The 21926-nt window shown below is 54.4% G+C and overlaps 1 protein-coding gene and 1 non-coding gene across 3 annotated transcripts in view, besides 6 other annotated features; one reads left to right on the top strand and one right to left on the bottom strand.

Annotated features, from left to right (window-relative positions):
• The window catches only part of GNG7 (G protein subunit gamma 7), a 191476-nt gene that overhangs the window by 61957 nt on the left and 107593 nt on the right, over window positions 1–21926 (top strand). The window lies entirely within an intron of this gene.
• Window positions 6716–6855: an enhancer, noted in NCBI's record as "active region_13711". NCBI's record gives its function as "activates an Ori minimal core promoter by ATAC-STARR-seq in GM12878 lymphoblastoid cells {active_cell/tissue: GM12878}" and the evidence as "EXISTENCE:reporter gene assay evidence [ECO:0000049][PMID:35858748]".
• On the bottom strand, window positions 9945–10023 carry MIR7850 (microRNA 7850). The gene has a single exon (NR_107004.1). It is a non-coding gene; the product is annotated as a microRNA 7850 (primary transcript).
• Window positions 12558–13757: an enhancer, noted in NCBI's record as "P300/CBP strongly-dependent group 1 enhancer chr19:2626979-2628178 (GRCh37/hg19 assembly coordinates)". NCBI's record gives its function as "activates an origin of replication core promoter dependent on BRD2, BRD4, P300/CBP, MED14 and CDK7 cofactors, with strong dependence on P300/CBP, by STARR-seq in HCT116 cells {active_cell/tissue: HCT116}" and the evidence as "EXISTENCE:reporter gene assay evidence [ECO:0000049][PMID:35650434]".
• Window positions 15568–15817: an enhancer, noted in NCBI's record as "active region_13710". NCBI's record gives its function as "activates an Ori minimal core promoter by ATAC-STARR-seq in GM12878 lymphoblastoid cells {active_cell/tissue: GM12878}" and the evidence as "EXISTENCE:reporter gene assay evidence [ECO:0000049][PMID:35858748]".
• Window positions 18562–18761: an enhancer, noted in NCBI's record as "active region_13709". NCBI's record gives its function as "activates an Ori minimal core promoter by ATAC-STARR-seq in GM12878 lymphoblastoid cells {active_cell/tissue: GM12878}" and the evidence as "EXISTENCE:reporter gene assay evidence [ECO:0000049][PMID:35858748]".
• Window positions 19641–19940: an enhancer, noted in NCBI's record as "active region_13708". NCBI's record gives its function as "activates an Ori minimal core promoter by ATAC-STARR-seq in GM12878 lymphoblastoid cells {active_cell/tissue: GM12878}" and the evidence as "EXISTENCE:reporter gene assay evidence [ECO:0000049][PMID:35858748]".
• Window positions 21273–21567: an enhancer, noted in NCBI's record as "tiled region #3019; HepG2 Activating DNase matched - State 8:EnhW, and K562 Activating non-DNase unmatched - State 20:ReprD". NCBI's record gives its function as "activates a minimal TATA promoter and a strong SV40 promoter by Sharpr-MPRA in HepG2 and K562 cells {active_cell/tissue: HepG2 | K562}" and the evidence as "EXISTENCE:reporter gene assay evidence [ECO:0000049][PMID:27701403]".

Below are 21926 nucleotides of genomic sequence, written 5' to 3'. Positions count from 1 at the left end.
GAGGATCACTTGAGCCTAGGAGATCGAGTGGTGCAGTGAGCCGAGATCACACCACTGCACTCCAGCCTGGGCAACAGGGCAAGACCCTGTCTCCAAAAAAAGCAACAGCTAAAAAGGTAAAATGAAGAAAAGTACAAAGAAGGCCAAGCCCCTAAGTTCCCCAGCCCAGCACCGATGGGCCTCAGCATCTTGCCAAGCCTGTGCTGGGATTTTCGTGAATTACATTCACCTGTAGATTTCACACAAGGAGGGTTCTATTCTCTCATTCCTCATTCCCATCACTGGGCATCTTTCCTTGTCGAGAAACCTCGACATCCACCCTCATTCTTGACGCTCGTTAAGGCACTCTGTGTGATAGGGGGTGGTGACTTATCACTTTAAAAATGATTTTATAATGTGTTTAACTGGTCCCCCTAGCTGGGCTTTTGGAATGTCTCTCTTTTTCTTGATGTCTTTCTTTCTCTCTTCCTCTCTCTCTCCTTCCTTCCTCTCTCTTTCTTTCCTTCTCCCTCTCTCTTTCTCTCGCCTTCCTCCCTCTCCCCCTTCTCTCTCCTTCCTTCCTATCTCTATCTCCCTCCCTCTGCCGCTTCCTTCCCTCCCTCCTCCCTCCCTCCTCCCCTCCCTCCCTCCTTCCCTCCCTCCTTCCTTCCTCCCTCCCTCCTTCCCTCTCTCCCTCCCTCCTTCCTTCCTTTCTTCCTTCCCTCCCTTCCTCCCTCCCCCTCCCTCCTTCCCTCCCTCTCTTCTTTCTTCCTTCCCTCCCTCCCCCCTCCTTCCTTCCCTCCTTCCTCTCTCCCTCCTTCCTTTCTTCCTTCACTCCCTCCTTCCTTTCTCCCTCCCTCCTTCCCTCTCTCCCTCCCTCCTTCCTTCCTTTCTCCCTCCCCTTCCTTCCTTCCCTCCCTCCTTCCCTCCCTCCCTCCCTTACCCTCTCCTTCCCTCCCTTACCCTCTCCTTCCCTCCCTTCTTCCCCCTTCCCCCCTCCTTCCTCCCCCTCCCTCCCTCCTTCTCTCCCTTCCCTCCCTTCCCCCCCTCCTCCCCCACTCCCTGCCTCCCTCCCTCTCTCCTTCCTTCCTGAATCCCTCCCCTTGGATGGTTGAGGTTTAAGTTAAATTCCTGCGAGTGGATGTGCTGCTGAGCTCTGTGCCTGCCATCTACATTTGACATCCAGCCACAAAAACCTCCAGAAACACCCCATTCCTTCCTGGAGCGCTCGTTCCCCACCCTCCCAGCCGCAGCTGTGAAATCTTTGCCAAGCTGGCAAGTAGGGGCGCTCATCTTTGTTTTGTTTGGGTGTCCTTGGTGGCCGGTGAATCCGACCGTTCTCTGGGCATCCTTCTGTGGGCTGCCAGGCTGGGGTCTTTGCTGACCTTTCTGTTCCGGCGTCTCAGGCGCATTGATTTGTTTGAACAGTTTATAAACGTTTGTTTGAACTCTGCAAATATTTTCCTGAGCGTGTCTTTTGACTTTGCTTACGGTGGGTTTTGCCAAAGAGGAATTTTTTTTTTTTTTGACAGAGTCTCACTCTGTTGTCCAGGCTGGAGTGCAGTGGCGCGATCTTGGTTCACTGCCACCTCCTCCTTCCGGGTTCAAGCGATTCTCCCGCCTCAGCCTCCCAAGCTGGGATTGCAGGTGTTCGCCACCATGCCCAGCTAATTTTTGTATTTTTAGTAGAGATGGGGTTTCACCATGTTGGCCAGGCTGGTGTCGAACCCCTGACCTCAAGTGATCCTTCTGCCTCAGCCTCCCAAAATGCTGGGATACAGGTGTGAGCCACCGCACCTGGCCAGGATTTTAAATGTTTGTTATACATGAGCATCTCCTTTGTTTTTTTTATGGATCTCTTCCAAATTTTAAGATTATAAAAAAATCACCTGTATTTTGTTCCGATTGCATGTTTTACACTTAAATTCTGAACTACTTGAAATTTAACTATGCTAGTGGGGCTCACGGAGGAAGCAGGGGTGATTCTGACCCAACCCTCCCCTCCCCTCCCCTCCCCAGGGGATGCTGGGAGATGTCTAGGGATGTCTCTGGTTGTCACGACTGGGGGGTGCTCCTGGCATGAGTGGTTGGAGGTCAGGGACACTGCTCAACATGGCCCCATCCAAGAGAATCATCCAGCCCCAATGTCTACAGTGCCCAGGAGGGAGAGACTCTTTCTTTCTCCCTTCCCTTCCCCTCCCCTCCCCCTTCCCTTCTCCTCCCCTCCCTCTTCCCTTCCCCTCCCCTCCCCTTCCATTCCCCTCCCCTCCCCTTCCCCTCCCCTTCCCCTCCCCTTTCCCTCCCCCTCCCCTCCCCCTCCCCTTCCCCTCCTTCCCCTTCCCCTCCCCCTTTCCCTTCCCATCCCCTTCTCTTCCCCTTTTCTTTTCTTTTCTCTTTCTGACAGAGTCTCGCTCTGTCACCCAGGCTGGAGTGCAGTGGCATGATCTCAGCTCACTGCAACCTCTGCCTCCCAGGCTCAAGTAATTCTCTGCCTCGGCCTCCCGAGTAGCTGGGATTACAGGTGCATGCCACCACGCCCGGCTAACTTTTGTATATTTAGTAGAGACAGGGTTTCACCATGTTAGCCAGGCTGGTCTTGAACTCCTGACCTCGTGATCCACCTGCCTCGGCCTCCCAAAGTGCTGGGGTGACAGGCGTGAGCCACCGCACCCGGCCCATTCATTATTTCAAAACTGACTTCAGTCCCTGCTCACACTGGACACCAGAATAAACTCCCGATGGGGCAGATGGTGTAAATCAGGGGGACCCCCAGCTCCTGGGATTCATCTCCTCTCTCCCTCCCAACTCAGGGTGTGGATTTCAATGTGTGCAGCCTCCTGGGACCTCAGCATGGCAGAGGATCATGGGACGCGGAGTCTCTTGGGGGTCCGTGGAATCCCCTAACCCGGGGGGTCTCAACCAGGGGTGATTCTGCCTCCAGGGGACATCTGTAATTGTCATGATGGAGGGATGCTCCTGGCATGGAGTGGATGGAGGCCAGGGACGCTGCTCAGCACCCTATGGTGCCCAGGACGGCCCCACCCCAGAGAATCATCAGGCTCTGATGTCCACACACGCAAGGGGAGGCCCCAGTAGAGGGGACGGAATTAGTGGTGAGCAGGTGTGGTGCCGGCTGACCTTGAAGGGGTTCTCTGTTACAAAGGGTGGCGTGGGATGCGGGCTTTTCCTGATCTTTTAATAATGTTGCTAGTCATTCATTGAGCACCTCCTGTTTGCTGGGCGCTGGGCTGGGCGAGTGCGGCTTTGGCTCCTGCGGGCACAGGGTGGGAAGCTTGGAAACTCACCTCCCTACAAGGACGGACGGGGAGGAGAGCGAGGCTGTGAGGGGTGCAGGCGCCTGCGGGGGTCTCTGACCTCTGGGTGGCAGCCTCTCCAGGAGAGCAGGTGCGCCGCCAAGTGAGGGCCGTGGCTGCCTGTCCTGATGACAAAACCAGCACCGTGATCCCCTGCTCCTATCCTTCTGCAGGCCCCAGGGCAAAACAACAACGACAACAGCAAAGACGGGCCGGGCTCGGGGGCGGGGGGAGCCTGTTCCTGGGGCCTCTGAAGCTCGATTTGCAGAGGGCTGCTGTTACCGCTGGCGGCCACGAGGGGGCAGAGGAGGCCCACGGAGTTTCCTGGCCCCGGGCCTGGAGCCGGCAGGGGGCTGGAGATGCGGGGGGTGCAGGTAGGGACGGGGGTGCAGTGGGTGTGCAGGTGGGTGCAGGTGAGGACAAGTGGAGTTGGAGGTGCAGGTGGGGACAGAGGTGCAGGTGGGGACGGAAGTGCAGGTGGGCGCAGGTGGGCACAAGTGGGGACGGAGGTGCAGATGGGCGCAGGTGTGCGTAGTTGGGTTCAGGTGGGTGCAGGTGGGGATGGAGGTGCAGGCAGTGCATACTGACTGTATCCCAGATGTCTTCAGTCACCCCCGAGCCCCTCTTTAAGCTCTGTCACTACCCCCACTGCAGTTTGCTTGATACCTTCCTGGTTCAACACTGACAGCCCTAAGTCCCAGGCAAACCCAGATGGTTGGCCCCTGCCCTAGGGGCCCCTGTGGGCACACTCAGAGCCTCTCTGCCCAAAACCAGAGGCGGTCCCTGGGTGTTGTGCGTGGCAGGAGGCGGGAGGCACTGGCTCTGCTCCCCAGGAGTGGCCTTAAGGCAGTCAGGGAATGCACCTCACACTCGGGCACAGAGGTGTCTCCAGAGCAGAGCTCGGACCAGAGAATGGAAGGCATAAAGCATCCCTGGAGGGCTGGGTGGCCCTGGGAGAGTGCAGGTCATCCTGCCATGGGAATCAGACCCTGGCTTGTCCCCACCATCAGGCCCTGGGGTGCCTGTCATCCCCCCTCCCAGATGTCATGCTCCTCAGGGTGAGAACTGGCTGTGGACCTGGGGCTGCCACTCCCCAGCTCAGAGAGGGGTCATTGTCCTGGCGGGCAGAGGGCCTGGATCCTCGCCTGTGAGTTAGAGACTCGTGCGCCCCTGAGTGAAGGCAGTAGAGAGCTGGTTCAGTTTGGCCAGAGGAGAATTCCATCCACCCCCTGAGTGGGAGGGAGAGAGGAGGTGAATCCCAGGAGCTGGAGTTACCCTGATTTATGCTGTCTGCCCCTTTGGGAGTTTATTCTGGTGTCCGGTGTGAGCAGAGAGCAGACTCTGTTTTTTTCCAAATAACACAGGGTCTCTCTCCCCCTGGCTCCTGTAGACATTGGGGCCACATTTTTCTCTGGGGTGGGGCTGTCCTGGGCACTGCAGGCTGCTGAGCAGCGTCCCGGGCCTCCACCCACTCCATGCCAGGTGCACCCGCCAGTTGTGACAACCACAAATGTCCCCAAATATCACTCAGTGTCCCTTAGGGGACAGAATCACCCCAAGTTGGCCAGGCACGGTGGCTCACACCTGTAATCCCAGCACTTTGGGAGGCTGAGGTGGGCGGATCACTTGAGGTCAGGAGTTCGAGACCATCCTGGCCAACATGGTGAAAACTCCTCTGTACTAAAAATACAAAAATTAGCTGGGTGTGGTGGCGGGCGCCTGCAATCCCAGCTACTCCGTAGGCTGAGGCAGGAGAATCAATTGAACCTGGGAGGCAGAGGTTGCAGTGAGCCGAGATTGCACCATTGCACTACAGCCTGGGCAATACAGCGAGACTCCGTCTCAAAAAAAAAAAAAATCACCCCAAGTTGAGACCTCCTGGGTCTCAGGTGTGTCCCATGATCATATGGACCTCTGAGGTTCCAGGAGGCTGCACACACTGAAATCCACACTCCGAGTGAGGAGGGAGAGAAGAGGCAAATCCCAGGAGCTGGGGTCCCCCTGTCTTACACCGTCTGCTCCATTGGGAGTTTGTCGTGGTGTCTGATGTGAGCAGGGGACAGACTTGATTACTTTTTTTTCCCTCAAATTAAGGCAGGGTCTCTCACATTCAGCACTGAAGACTTTCTACCCCTTAGGAGACACTGGGGCTGGGGGTGGGGTTGGAGATGCAGAGGGTGCAGATGGAGATGGGTTCACGGGGCACCTGCACCCACCTGTGCCCACCTGCACCCACCTGCACCTCTGTCCTCACTCATCTGGGGCAATGTCTGGGGATATTTGTGGTTACACGACTGGGGGGTGCCCCTGGCATGGAGTGGGTGGAGGCCCGGGACGCTGCTCAGCAGCCTGCAGTGCCCAGGACGACCCCACCCCAGAGAACAATCCGGCTCCGATGTCCACAGAACCCGGGTGAGAACCCCTCTTCCAGGATAAGCATTTCTTCAGCCTTTTTGCTTCTTGCCTCACTGAGTGCGGAAGAACTTTGCGACCTCCAGATCACCGAGTGTGTTTTTCTGGTAGCTCCTTGTTCTCCCGGCGAGGGTTTTTTTTTTTTGGTAACATTTCTGCTGAGAGCTTTACTGGAGCCTCTTATCCTGAGAAGGGCTCTTGTGTGGTAAGCAAACTCCAGTCCCCGCGGCCAGTCAGAGCGGGTTTATTTCCCCCTGGTCGGTCACCAGATTTCAGCATGTCCTGGTCGTGTTGAAATTCACGTTATTATCAGTTCTTTTCGCGGACAAGTTGTTCCCCTGAAAGAATTGCCAAGATATACAGCCAGAGCCTGAAAACGCTCTGCTCCCGGAAGGTCACAGCTCATTGCTACCACCCTCCCCGAGAGAAAACGTGTGTGCAGCCCGCAAGTAATTACGGGGCGCTGTGCCGAAATCAGGGGCTCTGCCACAGTCTCCAGGACTCAGAAACCTCTCCCTGTACCCAGCAGCCTCCACATCTGTAGCCCAGGACAAGGCAGTGCTTCCCGGCGGTAGGAGAGCTTGGACATGACCTTGACCCTCTATAGCAGGGGTCATCTGGGTGATGCCGCCCCCCACCCCCAACCCCGGGGACACTGAGCAATTTCTGGGACATCTGTGGTTTTCGCGACTTGGGGGAGCTCCTGGCATGGAGTGGGTGGAGGCCAGGGATACTGCTCAGCACCCCGCAGTGCCCAGGACGGCCCCACCCCAGAGAACAATCGGGCCTCAAATGTCCACAGTGCTGAGGGGGAGAAACTCTGGGTTCATTATTTTGGGGAAAAAAATTCGAGTTATTTTCCTGCTCATGATAGGCACCATAAACGCCCAGTGGGGCAGACGGTGTAAACCAGGAGGACCCCCAGCTCCTGGGACTCACCTCCTCTCTCCCTCCTCACTCAGGGTGTGGATTTCAATGTGTGCAGCCTCCGGGGACCTCAGCAGGGCAGAGGATCATGGGACGCGGAGTCTCTTGGGGGTCCGTGGAATCCCCTATCCCAGGGGGTCTCAACTCGGGGCAATTTTGCACCCAGGAGACATTTGTGGCTGCCTCGATTGGTGGATGCCATGGGGTGGAGGTCAGGGGTGCCACTCAGCACCCTGCAGTGCCCGGGGCAGCCCCACAACCAAGAATGATTCAGCCCCAAATGCCCACAGTGCCGGGGGGAGAAGGCCCGGTGCAGAAGAACCTGCCTCCCGGGTGAGTTGAGAGCAGGCTTCTGTCCTCTTCTGGACAGAATTACTACAGCTCCCACTCAAGCCCCGGTAAACAGACACCCGTTTTCAAGCCCACCGATGTCCTCTCAATGAATCCCCGTTTCAGAGCTGTTATTGCGACCACCTGACTCTACTGATTGAGGCTCCATACCCAGAGAGGCTCACATCCACGACCACCGAGCCCGGGGATCTGAGTACCCCAGCCCAGTGTGCAGACCACAGCCACCTCTCGTGTGTGTGTGTGTGTGTGTGTGTGTGTGTGTGTGTGCGCGCGCGCGCGCGCGCCTGTTGCTAAGCAACCGCTTGAACAGTCAGCCTCCCACAGAACGAGGGATGAGGCACCAACTTGGTCATCGGCAGATTCATCGAGCCTTGGCCGCCTTTGACTCAAAATACACACGGCGGTGACAGTCGCATATGATGAGATGCTGGGGGCAGGGGACATGGGGGAGCCGAGTGGAGGCCAGAGAGGATGGCTCTGCCAATCTGTGGCTTGACCTTGACCCTCTCTGACCCTCTACAGCAGGGGTCAGAGTCCATTGCCCAGGACAGCAATGATGAGGCCCGTTGGATGCTAATTTTCCTCCCATCCGCTTCATCGTTTTAGTGAACCAGCACCCACCTGCAGGGCCCCTGCCAGGCTAACACCCTCGGATCTCTGCGCAGACACTCCCGGTGCCGCCTGGGGATGCGTGTCATAGATGGTTAAGGTGCAGCCTGGGGAGGCCCAAGGTGGGGTCTGTTGAGAAGTTAGGGGCCTGGTAGAGGGGCCCCCTGTCCCACCAGCAGGGTTCAAGGGGCTGAGGGCTCCTGAGCAGACATGGGCCAGGCAGAGGCCCAGGCGGGTGCCCCAGTGCAGAGCCCACTGTGGCTGGATGAGCCTCGTAATGACTTCATGTTAGAGCCTCAGCTTTACTTATTTATTATTTTTATCGGACATGGATCTGAATTATTATTCTTATATTCTTGTTATTATTATTATTTTAGAGTCAGAGTCTCACTCTGTTGCCCAGGTGCGAGTGCAGTGGTGCGATCATAGCTCAGTGTAACTAAGGGGTGCTCCTGGCAGGGAGTGGGTGGAGGCCAGGGACTCTGCTCAGCACCCTGCAGTGCCAGGGCAGCCTCACCCCAGAGATGGATCCAGTCCCGATGTCCACAGTGCTGACGGTGAGAGACTTCCCTGTAGAGTAGAAAGTCTCTGTTCGTCAGCTGTTTTTACAATTCCCAGTCTGTTTTCTGTGTGCGTGTGTGTGTGTGTGTGTGTGTGTGTGTGTGTGTGTGAGTTTTGTTTATAGCAGGTTGGGTTTTTTTGTTTTTTTTTTTTTTGAGATGGAGTTTCACTCTTGTCTCCCAGGCTAGAATGCAATAGCATAATCTCGGCTCACTGCAACCTCCACCTCCCGGGTTCAAGCAATTCTCCTGCCTCAGCCTCCCAAGTAGCTGGGATTACAGGTGCCTGACACCACGCCTGGCTAATTTTTGTATTTTTAGTAGAGACGGGTTTCACCATGTTGGTCAGGCTGGTCTCGAACTCCTGACCTCAAGTGATCCACCTGCCTCTGCCTCCCAAAGTGCTGGGATTACAGGCATGATCCCACACAGCGCCAGGCCAGGAGTCTTACCTTTCTAGGAGGCAGAGTTTATCTGTTCTTTTGGGGCTCCTTTCTCTAGAGAATGGGGGAGAGGGCAGCACCAGGGTGATGATGTCCCCGCAGAACAGGCCGTCACGGGATTAGCCTAGTCGATGCTAGTTGTCCTTATTGGAGATCTTGGGGAGACGCCCTGAAAATGCTGTAGTCTGCCTTGGCTGGTTCAACGTCCTTTCACCCCTTTTCTCTCTTCCTCTTTCAGAAATGGCACTTCTAGGGTCAGTCGGCTTCATTTTAGAAGTTAGCAAAAGAAGGAAAAAACTGCTAAAGCCGGGGTCGAAAACTGTGGCCCCCAGGCCAAGTCCCCCATCTAGTTCCTGTTTTTATAAATAAAGTTTTATTGGCATACAGCCACAGACATGCTGTGCCCCCACCCCAGGCCCAGTCTGGCCCTCCACTTCCTGTTTTTATAAATGAAGTTTTATTGGCACACAGCCACAGACAAACTGCAGCTCCCTGGGCCAAGTTCCCCCCTCCACTCCCTGTTTGTATAAATAAAGTTTTATTGGCACACAGCCACAGACATACTGCAGGTCCCTGGGCCAAGTTCTCTGTTCCACTTCCTGTTTTTATGAATAAAGTTTTATTGGCACACGGCCACAGACATTCATTTACCTGTCATCAGTGACTGCTTTCATACTACAAGGACAGAGCTCAGTGGCCTTTTGCAGAAAAGGTTTGCTGACCCTCAGCCTAGAGGCCTTGAGTTATCTGATTTCATCTCATAACCACTCGTGAGGAAAGAATGATCGTCACTGGACAGATAAGGATGCTGAGACCTAGCGAGGTTAAGTGGCTTCATGAGGTGACATAACCAGCAGTTTAGGGCTTGGGCTCCCAACTCTGCCACCTACTGGCTCTGTGACCCTGGGCCATCTCTGTGCTTTTCTGAACCTCAATGCCCTCGTCTGTGAAAGGGGGGAGAATAGGCAGTGCCTGCCTCTCAAGGGGTTAATGCATGTCAAGCTGTCTAATACTAAATGCACCATTCTTCCTCTGGTCTTCATGCCTGCTATGCCTCCTCAGCCCCACACAGTGCTGTTGAGACAATCAGATAATGTCATAGTCATTAGACCTTTTTGATGATATACTCAGACATACTCAGGAGGAAACTGCTGAGTTGCTTGGCTGATTGTGGAGGGACATGATGTCCAAACCCTTGTGTATGAATAAGTTTGAAAGCTGACCATAAAATCCCAGAATGCTCTAGTCTGCAGCACATAAAGAGTGTATTAGCTAGCTATGGCTGCGTAACAACTACCATGAATGCAGTAGCTTAGAGTGACACCCATTTATTATCTCATGGTTCCATAGGTCAGAAGTTTGGATGTAGTGTGGCTGGGTAAGACCCTGCACAGAGGACCCAGCCACACTATGTCCAAACTTCTGACCTCGGAGATGTGAGCCAGGGCTGCATTCTCATCCGAAGGTTTGTGTGGTGACGGATCCCCTTCCAAGCTCATTCCAGGCTCATTCAGAATTCAGTTCTTTGTGGTTGATAGACTGTTTCTGTTGCGTTGTTAGCTGTCAGGAGGGGGCAACTCTCAGCTCTTTGAGGCCACTCTCAGGCCACTTGGCCTTCTCCATAGGCCCCTCATGCTTCCAGGCTCTCATTTCAGGAAAGGCCCAATCCCTTTTAAAGGGTCACCTGATTAGACCAGGCCCACCTAGGATAATCGCCCTTTCAGTGAACTCAAGGTCAACTGATTTAGGACCTTATTTACCTCTTCAAAATCCCTTCTTTCCTGAAAAGCAACCTAATCAGGGGAGTGATATCTCATCATGTCCACGGGCCCTGCCCACACTCAAGGGGAGGGGGTTCTACAAGATATGTTCTCCAGGGAGATCTTAGACTCCTCTTGGTGGCAAAGGGAAGGGGGGGCCTGCGTTCGGCCTCAGCCAGGACCGAATCAGCAGGACCTTCACTCCCTTTTTCTGGCGTCCATCCCTTCCTCTTGCAGGAGTACTGCCAGGTCTTTGGGGAGAGGGTGGGGGTTATTGGGAGAAAGGAGGCATTTGGAAAGTAGGTGGCAGGCTGTGTCCCAGTTACACCTAAATGTGTCTCCACTTATTAAAAAAAAAAAACAACCTTTATTTTGAAATCATTACAGATTCAGAGGAAGTTGCAAAAATCACACAGAGCAAAAAACATCACATGTATCTTCACAGTTTCCCCCAGTGGTGACATCTTACGTAACCATAGTACAAAACCAGGAAATGGACCCTGGCACCATGTATGTGCAAAGCTCTGTGCCCTTTCGCACACATGCAGACTCGGCTTCACCTTATTTATGGGTGTGCAGGAACATTAAGTGTCCATAAATGTGGACGGAGCTCCTCTTACTCGTGGGCATGGGGTCAGAGGGAGGCGGGAGTACAACCAAACAAAACCATCTAGACTTTGACCGTTGATGTGGGTGCCAGGTTCCAATCACCGTGTGCCCCCACACTGCGTTCAGGGCTACGCTCTTCTGTCTTCTCCCACTAGTCTGTGAGTCTGTGAGGTCTTGTCCACTACCTCTTTAGGCAGCCAGCCCTTCTGGTGGGCTTTGTCGTGGGGAGGGGGTGGCACTAGGTGTGTTCTGGGGCTCCTAGCACTAGAAGACTTGTTTCAAATCCAGAAGCACCTCCTATTCGTGTGGGCGCCCAGGCAACTTACCTGACCCGTCTGTGACTCTGTGTCCTTGGGGACCTCCTATTCTAAACACAAGAGCGTGGCCTGCTGTCACCGTCACCATCCTGGCATCTGCAGAAGAGCCACCAAGCGCTGCCTCCTGAGAATTTCTGGAAGGAGGAGATGACTGGTAGAGTGGAAAGTTATTGAAAGGGACATTTGGAGTTCTTTCCAAGGGACATAACCCATCTCCCAATATCCCCTATCCATTTGCTCAACCTTCAGAGAGACCTACTAAGATATCCAGTTGTTCACCTCAAGTCTTCAACTTTCCCCAAAGTTCTTTGCTGTTTTCTCTGTGCCTTGCACAGAGCCTGATGCATAGTACGTGCTCCTTGGGGGCCACTTTGTGTGTGTTTCCTACTAATGGCACCTACAGCAGCAATGGCCACCATGTCTTTTACAGCTACAGTCCTAGGCAGAATTCCAAGATGGCGCCCAAGACCCCCACCGCCTGGTGCCCACATCTTATCTAATCCCCTGCACTTGAGGATGGGCTGGACCTGCGAATACGATGGGGTGTCACTCCAGTGGTTAGGTTAATGCAGTTAGGTCGTGTGTTCGGTAAAGGGATTTTGCAGATGCGACGAAGATTCCTAGTCAGTTGACCTGAGCTCATCAAAAAGGAGACATCCTGGGTGGGCCTGACCTCATCAGGTGAGCCCATAAAAGAGACCAGAAGCACATCCCGAGGTGTCAAATTCAGAGAGACAGAAGGGAGAATGGTGGGTGCTAGGGGCTGGGGGAGGGAAGAGGGGAGCTGTTGTTCAGTGGATACAGTGTCTCAGTTTTACAAGATGGAAGGTTCTGGAGAGCCATTGCACAGCAGTGTGAGTATACTTAACATCACTGAACCGTACACATAAACGTGGTTAAGATGATCCGTCTTATGTTATATATATATATACACACACACACACACACCACAGTTGAAAGAAAGAGAGAAAGGGAAGGGGTTTCTTGCCTTAAAGAAAGCAAACAGCTATGTCGTGAGCTGCCTGTGGAGGGTCCATGTGGCAGACACCTGAGAGTAGCCTCTAGGGGCTCAGAGCACTCACATCCAACAGCCAGTAGGTAAACAGGGACCTCATTCCTAGAGCTGCAAGGAAATGAATTCTGCCGATAACCAAACTAGCTCAGAAGAGGACCCCAAATTCCAGATGACAACTCGGCCCAGCCCATACCTTGATTTTAGGCTTATAAGACTCTGAGCGGGGGACCCAGTTAAGCCAGACTCTTGACACACAGAAGTTGTGAGATGGCAAATGGTGTCTTTGTTGCCGCTGTTGTTACTCAGCAGTAGCTGACTCATACACTTGCCGTGTTGTTTGCCATGTTGAGATTGAGATAATGATCTCCACTTCACATAGGAGAAAACAGTAGCTGAGAGGGGCTGACGTGCCCAGGGTCACATGGCAACTGTGTTGTGATCATCACATTAACTGTGCCTGTCACCTGGGCCGGACCGTCACCTCCTTCATTAAGATCAGGGATCTGGTCCAAGTCTTCACCAGATGTTTACTGAGTGAGTGAAAGAAACAAAGAATGAAGGTGCTGGGACCGATCCTCACCTGACCTCCTGCACACAGGTGAGTCTGTGTCTGCGACCAGGACCAGTGACACCATAGGACACTGAGTGAAATCTCGAGAACATAACTGTGAGGCTCAGAAGGAGTAGTCAGCACATGCAACTCCCCGGGCTGAGTCAGCTGCCGGTGTTGAGGTCGGAGCTGATCAGCCTCCTGGAATGTGACATGCTGTACCCTGACTAATATTCCGGCTGAATCAGAGCTTTGCTCGTAATGAGAGGCAAGTCTCGAGCCAGTCACCCTCTGGCCCATGTGAGACTGGGAATTCAGAATCAGCCGGGAGTGACAGAAAGCCAGGTCTGGCTGGCACGCCTGGGTGGGTGTTTACAGCACGCGGGCTGCCAGCTGTGACCAGCTCTGAAGGGAGCCAGGGCCAGAGGATGCAGGTGCAGAGGACAGGCGCCCGGAGGAAGTGGGAGGAGAGGCGGCCACAGGGCTGGGGCCCCACTCTGGGTGCCCCTGGAGCCATGCAGGGGGTGGGTTCACCCCCTTACCGCCATTTAACATGTGAGGTGGATCGTTCTCTGGGGTGGGTCATCCTGGGCACTGCAGGGTGCTGACAGTGTCCCTGGCCTCCACCAACTCCATGCCAGGAGCACCCCCAGTCATGACAACCACAAATATCCCCAGACATCACCCAGCGTCCCCTGGGACAGAAACACCTTGGTTGAGACCCTCTGGGATAGAAGATTCCACAGACCCCAAGAGATTCTGCATCCCATGATCCTCTGCCCTGCGGAGGTCCCAGGAGGCTGCACACATTGAAATCCACACCTGAGTGGGAAGAGAGAGAGGAGATGAGTCCCAGGAGCTGGGGCTCCCGGGTTTATGCCGTCTGCTCCATCTGGAGTTTATTCCAGTGTCTGGTGTGAGTAGGGAGGACACTCAGTTTATTCCCAAATAATTAAAGCAGGTCTCTCCCCCTGGGCACTGTGGACACTGACACTGGACTGTTCTCTGGGGTGAGGCCGTCCTGGGCACTGCAGGGTGCTGAGCAGCATCCCTGGCCTCCACCCACTCCATGCCAGGAGCATGGACCGATGTGAGGGAATATTAGTCAGGGAAGGTCCCACTTCCCTCCGTCATGACAATTACAGATGTCCCCCGACACCGCCCAGTGTCCCCTGAGGGGACAGAATTACCCCAGTTGAGACCCTGATTGAGTGAACCGATGAAGACAACACCGCCCAAGAGTGAAAGCAGGTGCCCACACCAGGAGCTTTGTTCGGGAATTCAGGGAGGGCTTCCTGGAGGAAGTGACATGAGTTGAGTGTTGCTAGTGCCCTGAAGGTGACAGGTGGGGTGGGGGATACAGGTGCAGAGATGGTTCCAGGACCTTGAAAAGGTGAGAGGGAGGGAGTGAGGAGGCCGCACGGCAGAGGCTGCATTTTATCCCGAGGGCAGGAGGGAGCCATAGCGGGTTCCGGCTCCACCCATGACAACAATCAATTGGTTTGGGTCCAGCCTCCCTGTGTGACAGATTAGGAAACTGAGGCACAGAGGGGGTGAGAGATGCCCCAGCCTCCTGTGGGTGGCAGAGATCCCGGTGGGTTTCCACGGTGCCGCTGGTCAGGCTGGTTTGGGGCAGGGGGCCGGCTTCAGGCCTGGGGCGGGAGCAGCATCAGCTTCACGTTCCCGCTGGAGACACGGGGTCAGGTGGGCACCCGCGGTCACTCTCTGCTTCTGTTTGGTAAAATGGGGGGTGATCACCACCCCTGCAGTCCAGGGTTGCTGCAGGGAGTAAATGAAATAATCAGGCCGGGCGCCATGGCTCACGCCTGTCATCCCAGCACTTTGGGAGGCCGAGGCGGGTGGATCACCTGAGGTCAGGAGTTCGAGACCAGCCTGGCCAACATAGTGAAACCCCATCTCTACTAAAAATACAAAAATTAGCCAGGCGTGGTGGTGGGCGCCTGTAATCCTAGCTACTTGGGAGGCTGAGGCAGGAGAATCGCTTGAACCCGGGAGGCGGAGTTGCGGTGAGCATCAGTGAGCAGTCCAGCCTGGGCGACAGAGTGAGACTCCGCCTCAAAAACAAAACAAAAACAAAAACAAACAAAAAACCCCAAAACCAAAATAATCAGCTCTGAAGTCCTTGTCTTGTGCCCAGCACGGTGAGGGCGCTACCTGCTCACCCTCTCACACCCTCATCTCCTCTCTGACCCAGCTTCCTCCTCCCCAAAGACTCTGCCCTTCACTGGCTTCCCTGGCAACCATGGAAACACTGGGAGGGGCATGGGTGACCCATGGCCCTTCTACAAGTTGGTGGCAGAACCTTGGTTCTCTGCTTCCTGATCCCCGTGACCGAGGAGAAGAGAGAAGTCTGGCTAATCTGGGAGCAGTGGCTCACGCCTGTAATCCCAGCACTTTCAGAGGCCGACATGGGAAGATCGCTTGAGGCCGGGAGTTTGAGACCAGCCTGGGCAACAGAGACCCCCCTCTATTTCTGCAAAAAATAAAAATAAAAACCCTGGCTGGGCACAGTGGCTCACACCTATAATCCCAGTGCTTTGGGGTGCTGAAGTGAGAGAATTGCTTGAGGCCAGGATTCAGGACCAGGCTCAGTAAAAGAGTGAGACCCCCTTGTCTACAAAAAAATTTTTAAAAATTAGCCGGGTGCAGTGGTGTGCACCTGTATTCCCAGCTATTCGGGAGGCTGAGGCAGGAGGATTGCTTGAACCCGGGAGGCGGAGGTTGCAGTGAGCTGAGATCGCACCACTGCACTCCAGCCTGGCGACAGAGCAAGATCTTGTCTCAAAAGAAAGGAAGAGGTCTAGAGGCCCCAGGGGACAACACATGCACCCTCGGCACAGGGCCCGAGCCCCCAGGGAGGTAAACCACAGGCGTCCACCCCTGCCTGGGGTCCGGCTCTGCACCCACAAGGAAAGGTGACAGCCAGGAGATGGCTTCTGTGCCCTGAGCTGACCTTGTCTTCCTGTCTCAGGGCAGGAGTGGCCCAGCCCACAGCGTGGAATTCTGCAAGCTCAGTAAACACCCTGGAGCCTGTGGGATGGGCTGGAGGGGCTCGGGCCCCTGTGCCCGCCTGCCCTCTGCCTGGGGGTAATTACCAGAAAGCCTCCCTCCTTCCCTCCTTCCCAGAAGGCACTGCTGGGCTCAGCCTCCTGCAGGTCAGGAGCTGCTAGGAATAGCCGCCAGGGCTGGCAACAGGTCACAGTCACTGCTCCGGAGACGAGAGGCCTGCTGTGCTGTGGCACCACCGGCAACCAGACAGAGGTGGAGCTCTGCCTGAGAGCCACTGGAGCACCTTTCTTTCTTTCTTTTCTTTTTTTCTTTTTCTTTTTTTTTTTTTTTTTTGAGACGGAGTCTCGCTGTCTCCCAGGCTGGAGTTAAGTGGCACAATCTCGGCTCACTGCAAGCTCCGCCTCCCGGGTTCTCGCCATTCTCCTGCCTCAGCCTCCGGAGTAGCTGGGACTACAGGCGCCCACCACCACGCCCGGCTAATTTTTTTTGTATTTTTATTGGAGACGGGGTTTCACCATGTTAGCCAGGATGGTCTCGATCTCCTGACCTCGTGATCCTTCCACCTCGGCCTCCCAAAGTGCTGGGATTACAGGCGTGAGCCACCGCGCCCGGCCCTTTCTTTCTTTTTTTAATTGTGGTAAAATATATGAAACATAGTATTTACCATCTTAGCCATTTCTAAGGGCTCAGTTCAGTGGCATTAAGCACATTTGCATGGTGCTGCACCCATCACCACCGTCATCTCCAGAACTTTCCATCTTCCCAGACTGAATCTCTGTCCCCGTGAAACACTTGCTCCCCGTCCCCTTCCCAGCCCTTGGCACCCCCCATCCTGCTTCCCTTGTACTGTTCGCTCATGTTCACAGCAGCCAAAAGGTGGAAGCAACTCAAGCGTCCATCAACAGATGGACTGTCTCTGTGAATCTGACGGCTCTAGGGACCTCCTAGGCGTGCAGTCACACAAGATTTGTCCTTTTCTTTTAGATGCAGTCTCGCTCTGTGGCCCAGGCTGGAGTGCAGCGGTGCGACCTCGGCTCACTGCAACCTCCGCCTCCCAGATTCAAGCAATTCTCCTGCTTCAGCCTCCTGAGTAGCTGGAATTACAGGCACCTGCCACTATGCCCGGCTAATTTTTGTATTTTTAGTAGAGATGGGGTTTCACCACATTGCCCAGGCTGGTCTCCAACTCCTGACCTCAAGTGATCCACCTGCCTTGGCCTCCCAAAGTGCTGGGATTAAAGGCGTGAGCCACCACACCTGGCCAATTTGGTTTTTTGTGTCTGGGTTCTCTCACTGAGCGTGACGTCCTCAAGGTGCATCCGTGTTGCAGCCTGTGTTGGGATTCCCTTCCTTTTCATGGCTGAGTAATATTCCATCATACAGATGCACCATGCTGTTTATCTGTCCATCTGTTGATGGACGCTTGGATTGATTGCTTCCACCTTTTGGGTGCTGTGAACATGAGTGAACAGTACAAGTATCTGTCCGAGCCCCTCCTTGCAATTCCTTTGGGTAAGGAACACCTTGTTTATTTGTTTTCTTGAGACCTGGTCTTGCTCTGTTGCCCAGGCTGGAGTGCAGTGGCACGATCACAGCTCACTGCAGCCTCAAATGCCCATGCTCAAGCGATCCTCCCATCTCAGCCTCCAAAGTAGCTGGGACTACAGGTGCACCACCACGCCTGGCTAATTATTTTTTTGTAGAGATGGGGTCTGGCTATGTTGCCCAGGCTTGGAACACCCCGTTTGTTCTGGGTTTGATACTACAGCCCAACCTGTGGTCACCTTTTTGCCTCCTGGGACACAGAAGAGCTCAGACTGAGCCTGGGTGTTGAGGACCTTAGCCGGAAAGTGGCTTCTCCCTCACCCACCCTCACTTGGCCACACACCCCCAGGAAGAAGGACCAATGTTTTCTATCAGTGGCCGTGCCCGGGGTGTCAGAGCTCTAGTGGTATAAATGATACACGGTGAAAGTGAAAACAAAGCCCTCCTCTCTGCCACGTTGCTCTCGCATTGAGCTCCCTTTCCCGGAAGCCCCCTCTCTGCCGCGTTGCTCGCATTGGGTTCCCCATCCCGGAAGCCTCCCTCTCTGCCGCGTTGCTCGCATTGGGTTCCCCATCCCGGAAGCCTCCCTCTCTGCCGCGTTGCTCGCATTGGGTTCCCCTTCCCGGAAGCCCCCTATCTGCCGCGTTGCTCGCGTTGGGTTCCCCTTCCCGGAAGCCCCCCTCTCTGCCGCGTTGCTCGCGTTGGGTTCCCCTTCCCGGAAGCCCCCCTCTCTGCCGCGTTGCTCGCGTTGGGTTCCCCTTCCCGGAAGCCCCCTCTCTGCCGCGTTGCTCGCATTGGGTTCCCCTTCCCGGAAGCAGCTGGTGTTGCCAGTTTCGGGGGCTTTCCCTGGAGATGGGCTGAATCCCCAGCCCTCATTACTGACCATTGACTTCTGCAGGGCTTATCCCGCACCCTTTGCAAGCTTAAAAACCACCAGGAGCCGGGCGCGGTGGCTCATGCCTGTAATCCCAGCACTTTGGGAGGCCGACACAGGCGGATCACAAGGTCAGGAGATCGAGACCATCCTGGCTAACATGGTGAAACCCCGTCTCTACTGAAAATACAAAAAATTAGCCGGGTGTGGTGGCGGGCGCCTGTAGTCCCAGCTACTCAGGAGGCTGAGGCAGGAGAATGGCGTGAACCCGGGAGGCAGAGCTTGCAGTGAGCCGAGATCTCGCCACTGCACTCCAGCCTGGGTGACAGAGCAAGACTCCGTCTCAAAAGAGAGAGAAAAAAAAAAAAAGTTGATGAGGGTTTTGGGCAGGCAGAGGGAATCGAACTCACTCCTCCGTGGTGATCAGCATGAAGGAAGGGGAGAGAAAAGGGGCAGACGAGCCTCTTGTGGCTGCCATAACAGGTGACCACAGACCCGGAAGTATCAATCCGCAGACGTGTGTCCTCTCACGGTTCTGGAGGGCAGAAGTACTAAACCAAGCTGTCTGCAGAGCTGTGCTCCCCTGGGCGCTACAGGAGAGGATCCTTCCGCGTCCTCTGGCTTCTGGGGGCTCTGGCAAACCTGGCTTGTGCTTACCGTCGAATTGCTCCAGTCTCTGCTTCTGTTTTCTGCTGTCTCTCTGTGTCTCCTTCTTTGTTTTTGTTTGTTTGTTTGTTTGTTTGTTTTAGATGAGGTCTTGCTCTGTCACCCAGGCTGGAGTGCAGTGGTGCCATCTTGGCTCACTGCAACCTCTGCCTCCCAGGTTCAAGCAATTCTCCTGCCTCAGCCTCCCGAGTAGCTGGGATTACAGGCGCGCACCAACACGCCCGGCTAACTTTGTGTTTTTAGTAGAGATGAGGTTTGTCCATGTTGGTCAGGCTGGTCTCGAACTCCTTATCTCAGGTGATCTGCCCACCTCGGCCTCCCAAAGTGCTGGGATTACAGGAGTGAGCCACTGTGCCCAGCCATTTTTCTTTAATTAATTTTTTGTGTCTGGAGTCTTGCTGCTGTGTTGCACAGGCTGGAGTGCAGTGGCAGCATCATAGCTCACTGCAGCCCTGAAATCCTAGGGCTCAAGCAATCCTCCCGCCTCAGCTTCCCGAGTAGCTGGGACCACAGGTGTGGACCACCACATCCAGCTTCAACATAAGTTTTAAGCAAATGCAATTAGTCCGTAACAGTCATTTTCCGAGGTTCCCCGTGGACAAGAATTTTGAAGGGACGTCACTAAACCCCTTGCAAGGGAAGTGAGCTTTACTCAGGTCTCAGGAAGCTCCTGGGGTGTGCAGGAAGGGGCGAGGTCACCCCAGGAGGAAGGCGCTGTGCTAAGGAAAGGTGACTGTTGATGGGGCCCCCGTTTGCAGAAACCTGTATGAGTCGTACCACCTCTGTGTAATCTGCCACCTTCAGAGCGCCTGCAGGAAGGCGGCCACGTCACCCCTTTTATAAATGAAACTGGAAGCTCAGGCTGGGAAACCCAAGGTCACAGAACCCAGCCTCAAAGGCAGCCAGCATTTCCACCGCAGGAGTCTGTTCTCTGCACAGAGCTGTCTTGCTCTGTTGCCCGGAGCCAGAGTGCAATGGCACGATTTCGGCTCACTGCAACCTCCACTTCCCGGGTTCAAGCAATTCTCCTGCCTCAACCTCCCAAGTAGCTGGGATTACAGGCGCACAACACCACGCCCAGCTAACTGGCCGACCCACGTTGGCTGGGGGTGCTGACGGCATAAGCTCACCCCTAGGTCCCTCTAGGGTGGCCGATGACAGGACCCTAAGAAGCTCACCCCCAGCTGGGATGTTTCGTTGAAAATCTTCTCTTTTGCCTTTAGTTGCTTGAAAACATTGGACTCATACCCAAGAGCTTTCTAATTGGTTTCGATAGGAAACGGTTCTGAGGTTTCGCCTTTTTTAATATCCTGTTGGTCTGAGACTGGAGTGGCCCCTGGGGTGGCAGGTTTCCCGGTGCATGGGCCCAGCTCTGGTGTGTGGGTTGGGGGATCAGGACAGAGGTTTGTGAGGGGGGCAGTGACCTGCCTGCAGAGAGAGGGGTCGGGACGACGGCCTGTAGCCAGGGTGCAGGGGGATCTGCCTTTCTTTCATTCTACAGGGTCCTCTCCTCTCCCCTCCCCTCCCCTCCCCTCCCCTCCCCTCCCCTCTCCTCTTTTCTTTTCTGTTTTTGAGACAGAGTTTTGCTCTTGTTGCCCAGGCTGGAGTGCTATGGCGCGATCTCGGCTCACTGCAACCTGCAACCTCTACCTCCCGGGTTCAAGCAATTCTCCTGCCTCAGCCTCCCAAGTAGCTGCGAATACAGGCGCGCACCACCATGCCTGGCTAATTTTGTATTTTTAGTAGAGACGGGGTTTCTTTATGTTGGTCAGGCTGGTCTTGAACTCCCGACCTCAGGTGATCCGCGCCCCCCCCTCGTCCTCCCAAAATGCTAGGATTAGCTTTATTGAGATATAACTGACACAGCGTAAAACTCACCCTTTAAAAATGTGCAGCTCAGCGGTTTTTACATTCACAGAGTTGTGCAACCATCTCCTTTATCTAATTCCGGAACATCCTATCACCCCCAAAAGAAGCCCTGTCCCCCATGAGCAGTCACTCCCCATCTCCCCCCGGCAGCCCTGCCACACACGCATCCCCTCCCTGTCCCCATGGATGGGCCTGTCCTGGACATTTCGTAGAAATGGGATCACACACTGCGTGGCCCTCTGTCTCTGGCTCCTTTCATAGAGTGTGATGTCCTCAAGGTCCATCCACACTGTGGCCGGCATCAGAGCCTTGTTCCTTTTCATGGCTGAGTCCTGCTCCATGGTGGCGTTTGCTGTACCAGGTGGGACAGAATGGACATTTCAGTGGTCCTCCGATGTCTGACCTTGCCCTTCACCCTGATTAGGGCTCAGCCTTACTATAAACAAATACTTGCTATGAACTTACTATGTGCGAGGCCTGGGGTAGCAAACTTTTCTGCAGAGATCCAGATGGCAAATGTTTTAGCCTTTGCAGGCTGGACAGTCTCTGCCTGCCATTGTAGCGGGAAAGCCACCACAAGCAATATGTCAACAAGTGGGTGTGGCCGTGTGCCAATAAAACTTTATTTACAAAAACACACAGTCAGCTAGATGTGGTCCAGGGGCCGTAGTTAGCTAACCCCTGGCTTAGGACAAAGGTTCTCAAACTCTCTGGTCCTGACGATTATTCCAAGGAGCTTTTGTTTATATGCCTTCTACTTACGGATATTTGTTGAATTTGAAATCAAAACTGAGAAAATGTCAATCAAATAGGTATTCATTCATTTTAAAATAGCAATTATAAGCTCTCAGGGTAGCCAGAATGACATTTTTTGTTTGTTTGTTTTTCATGGATAGTAACCGTTTTCTTAAAGAGACAAACAAAAAAGTTCATGGAAATACCAAAGAAAGACCAAGAAACTGAGAGCCCAGAGGAACCCACGGAGATGGGACGGTCAGATGCCACATGGGCTCCTGGATGGGGTCACAATGGGGCAGGAAAGGTCGTGAGGGGAAAACTGAGGGAAGCTGAATCGCTGTGGCATTTGGTTACTAGG

This window comes from Homo sapiens, chromosome 19 (assembly GCF_000001405.40).
Source record: "Homo sapiens chromosome 19, GRCh38.p14 Primary Assembly".
NCBI classification, from domain to species: Eukaryota; Metazoa; Chordata; class Mammalia; order Primates; family Hominidae; genus Homo; species Homo sapiens.
The sequence above is the reverse complement of the archived record's forward strand: the minus strand, read 5'-3'. Positions and strand labels throughout refer to the sequence as shown.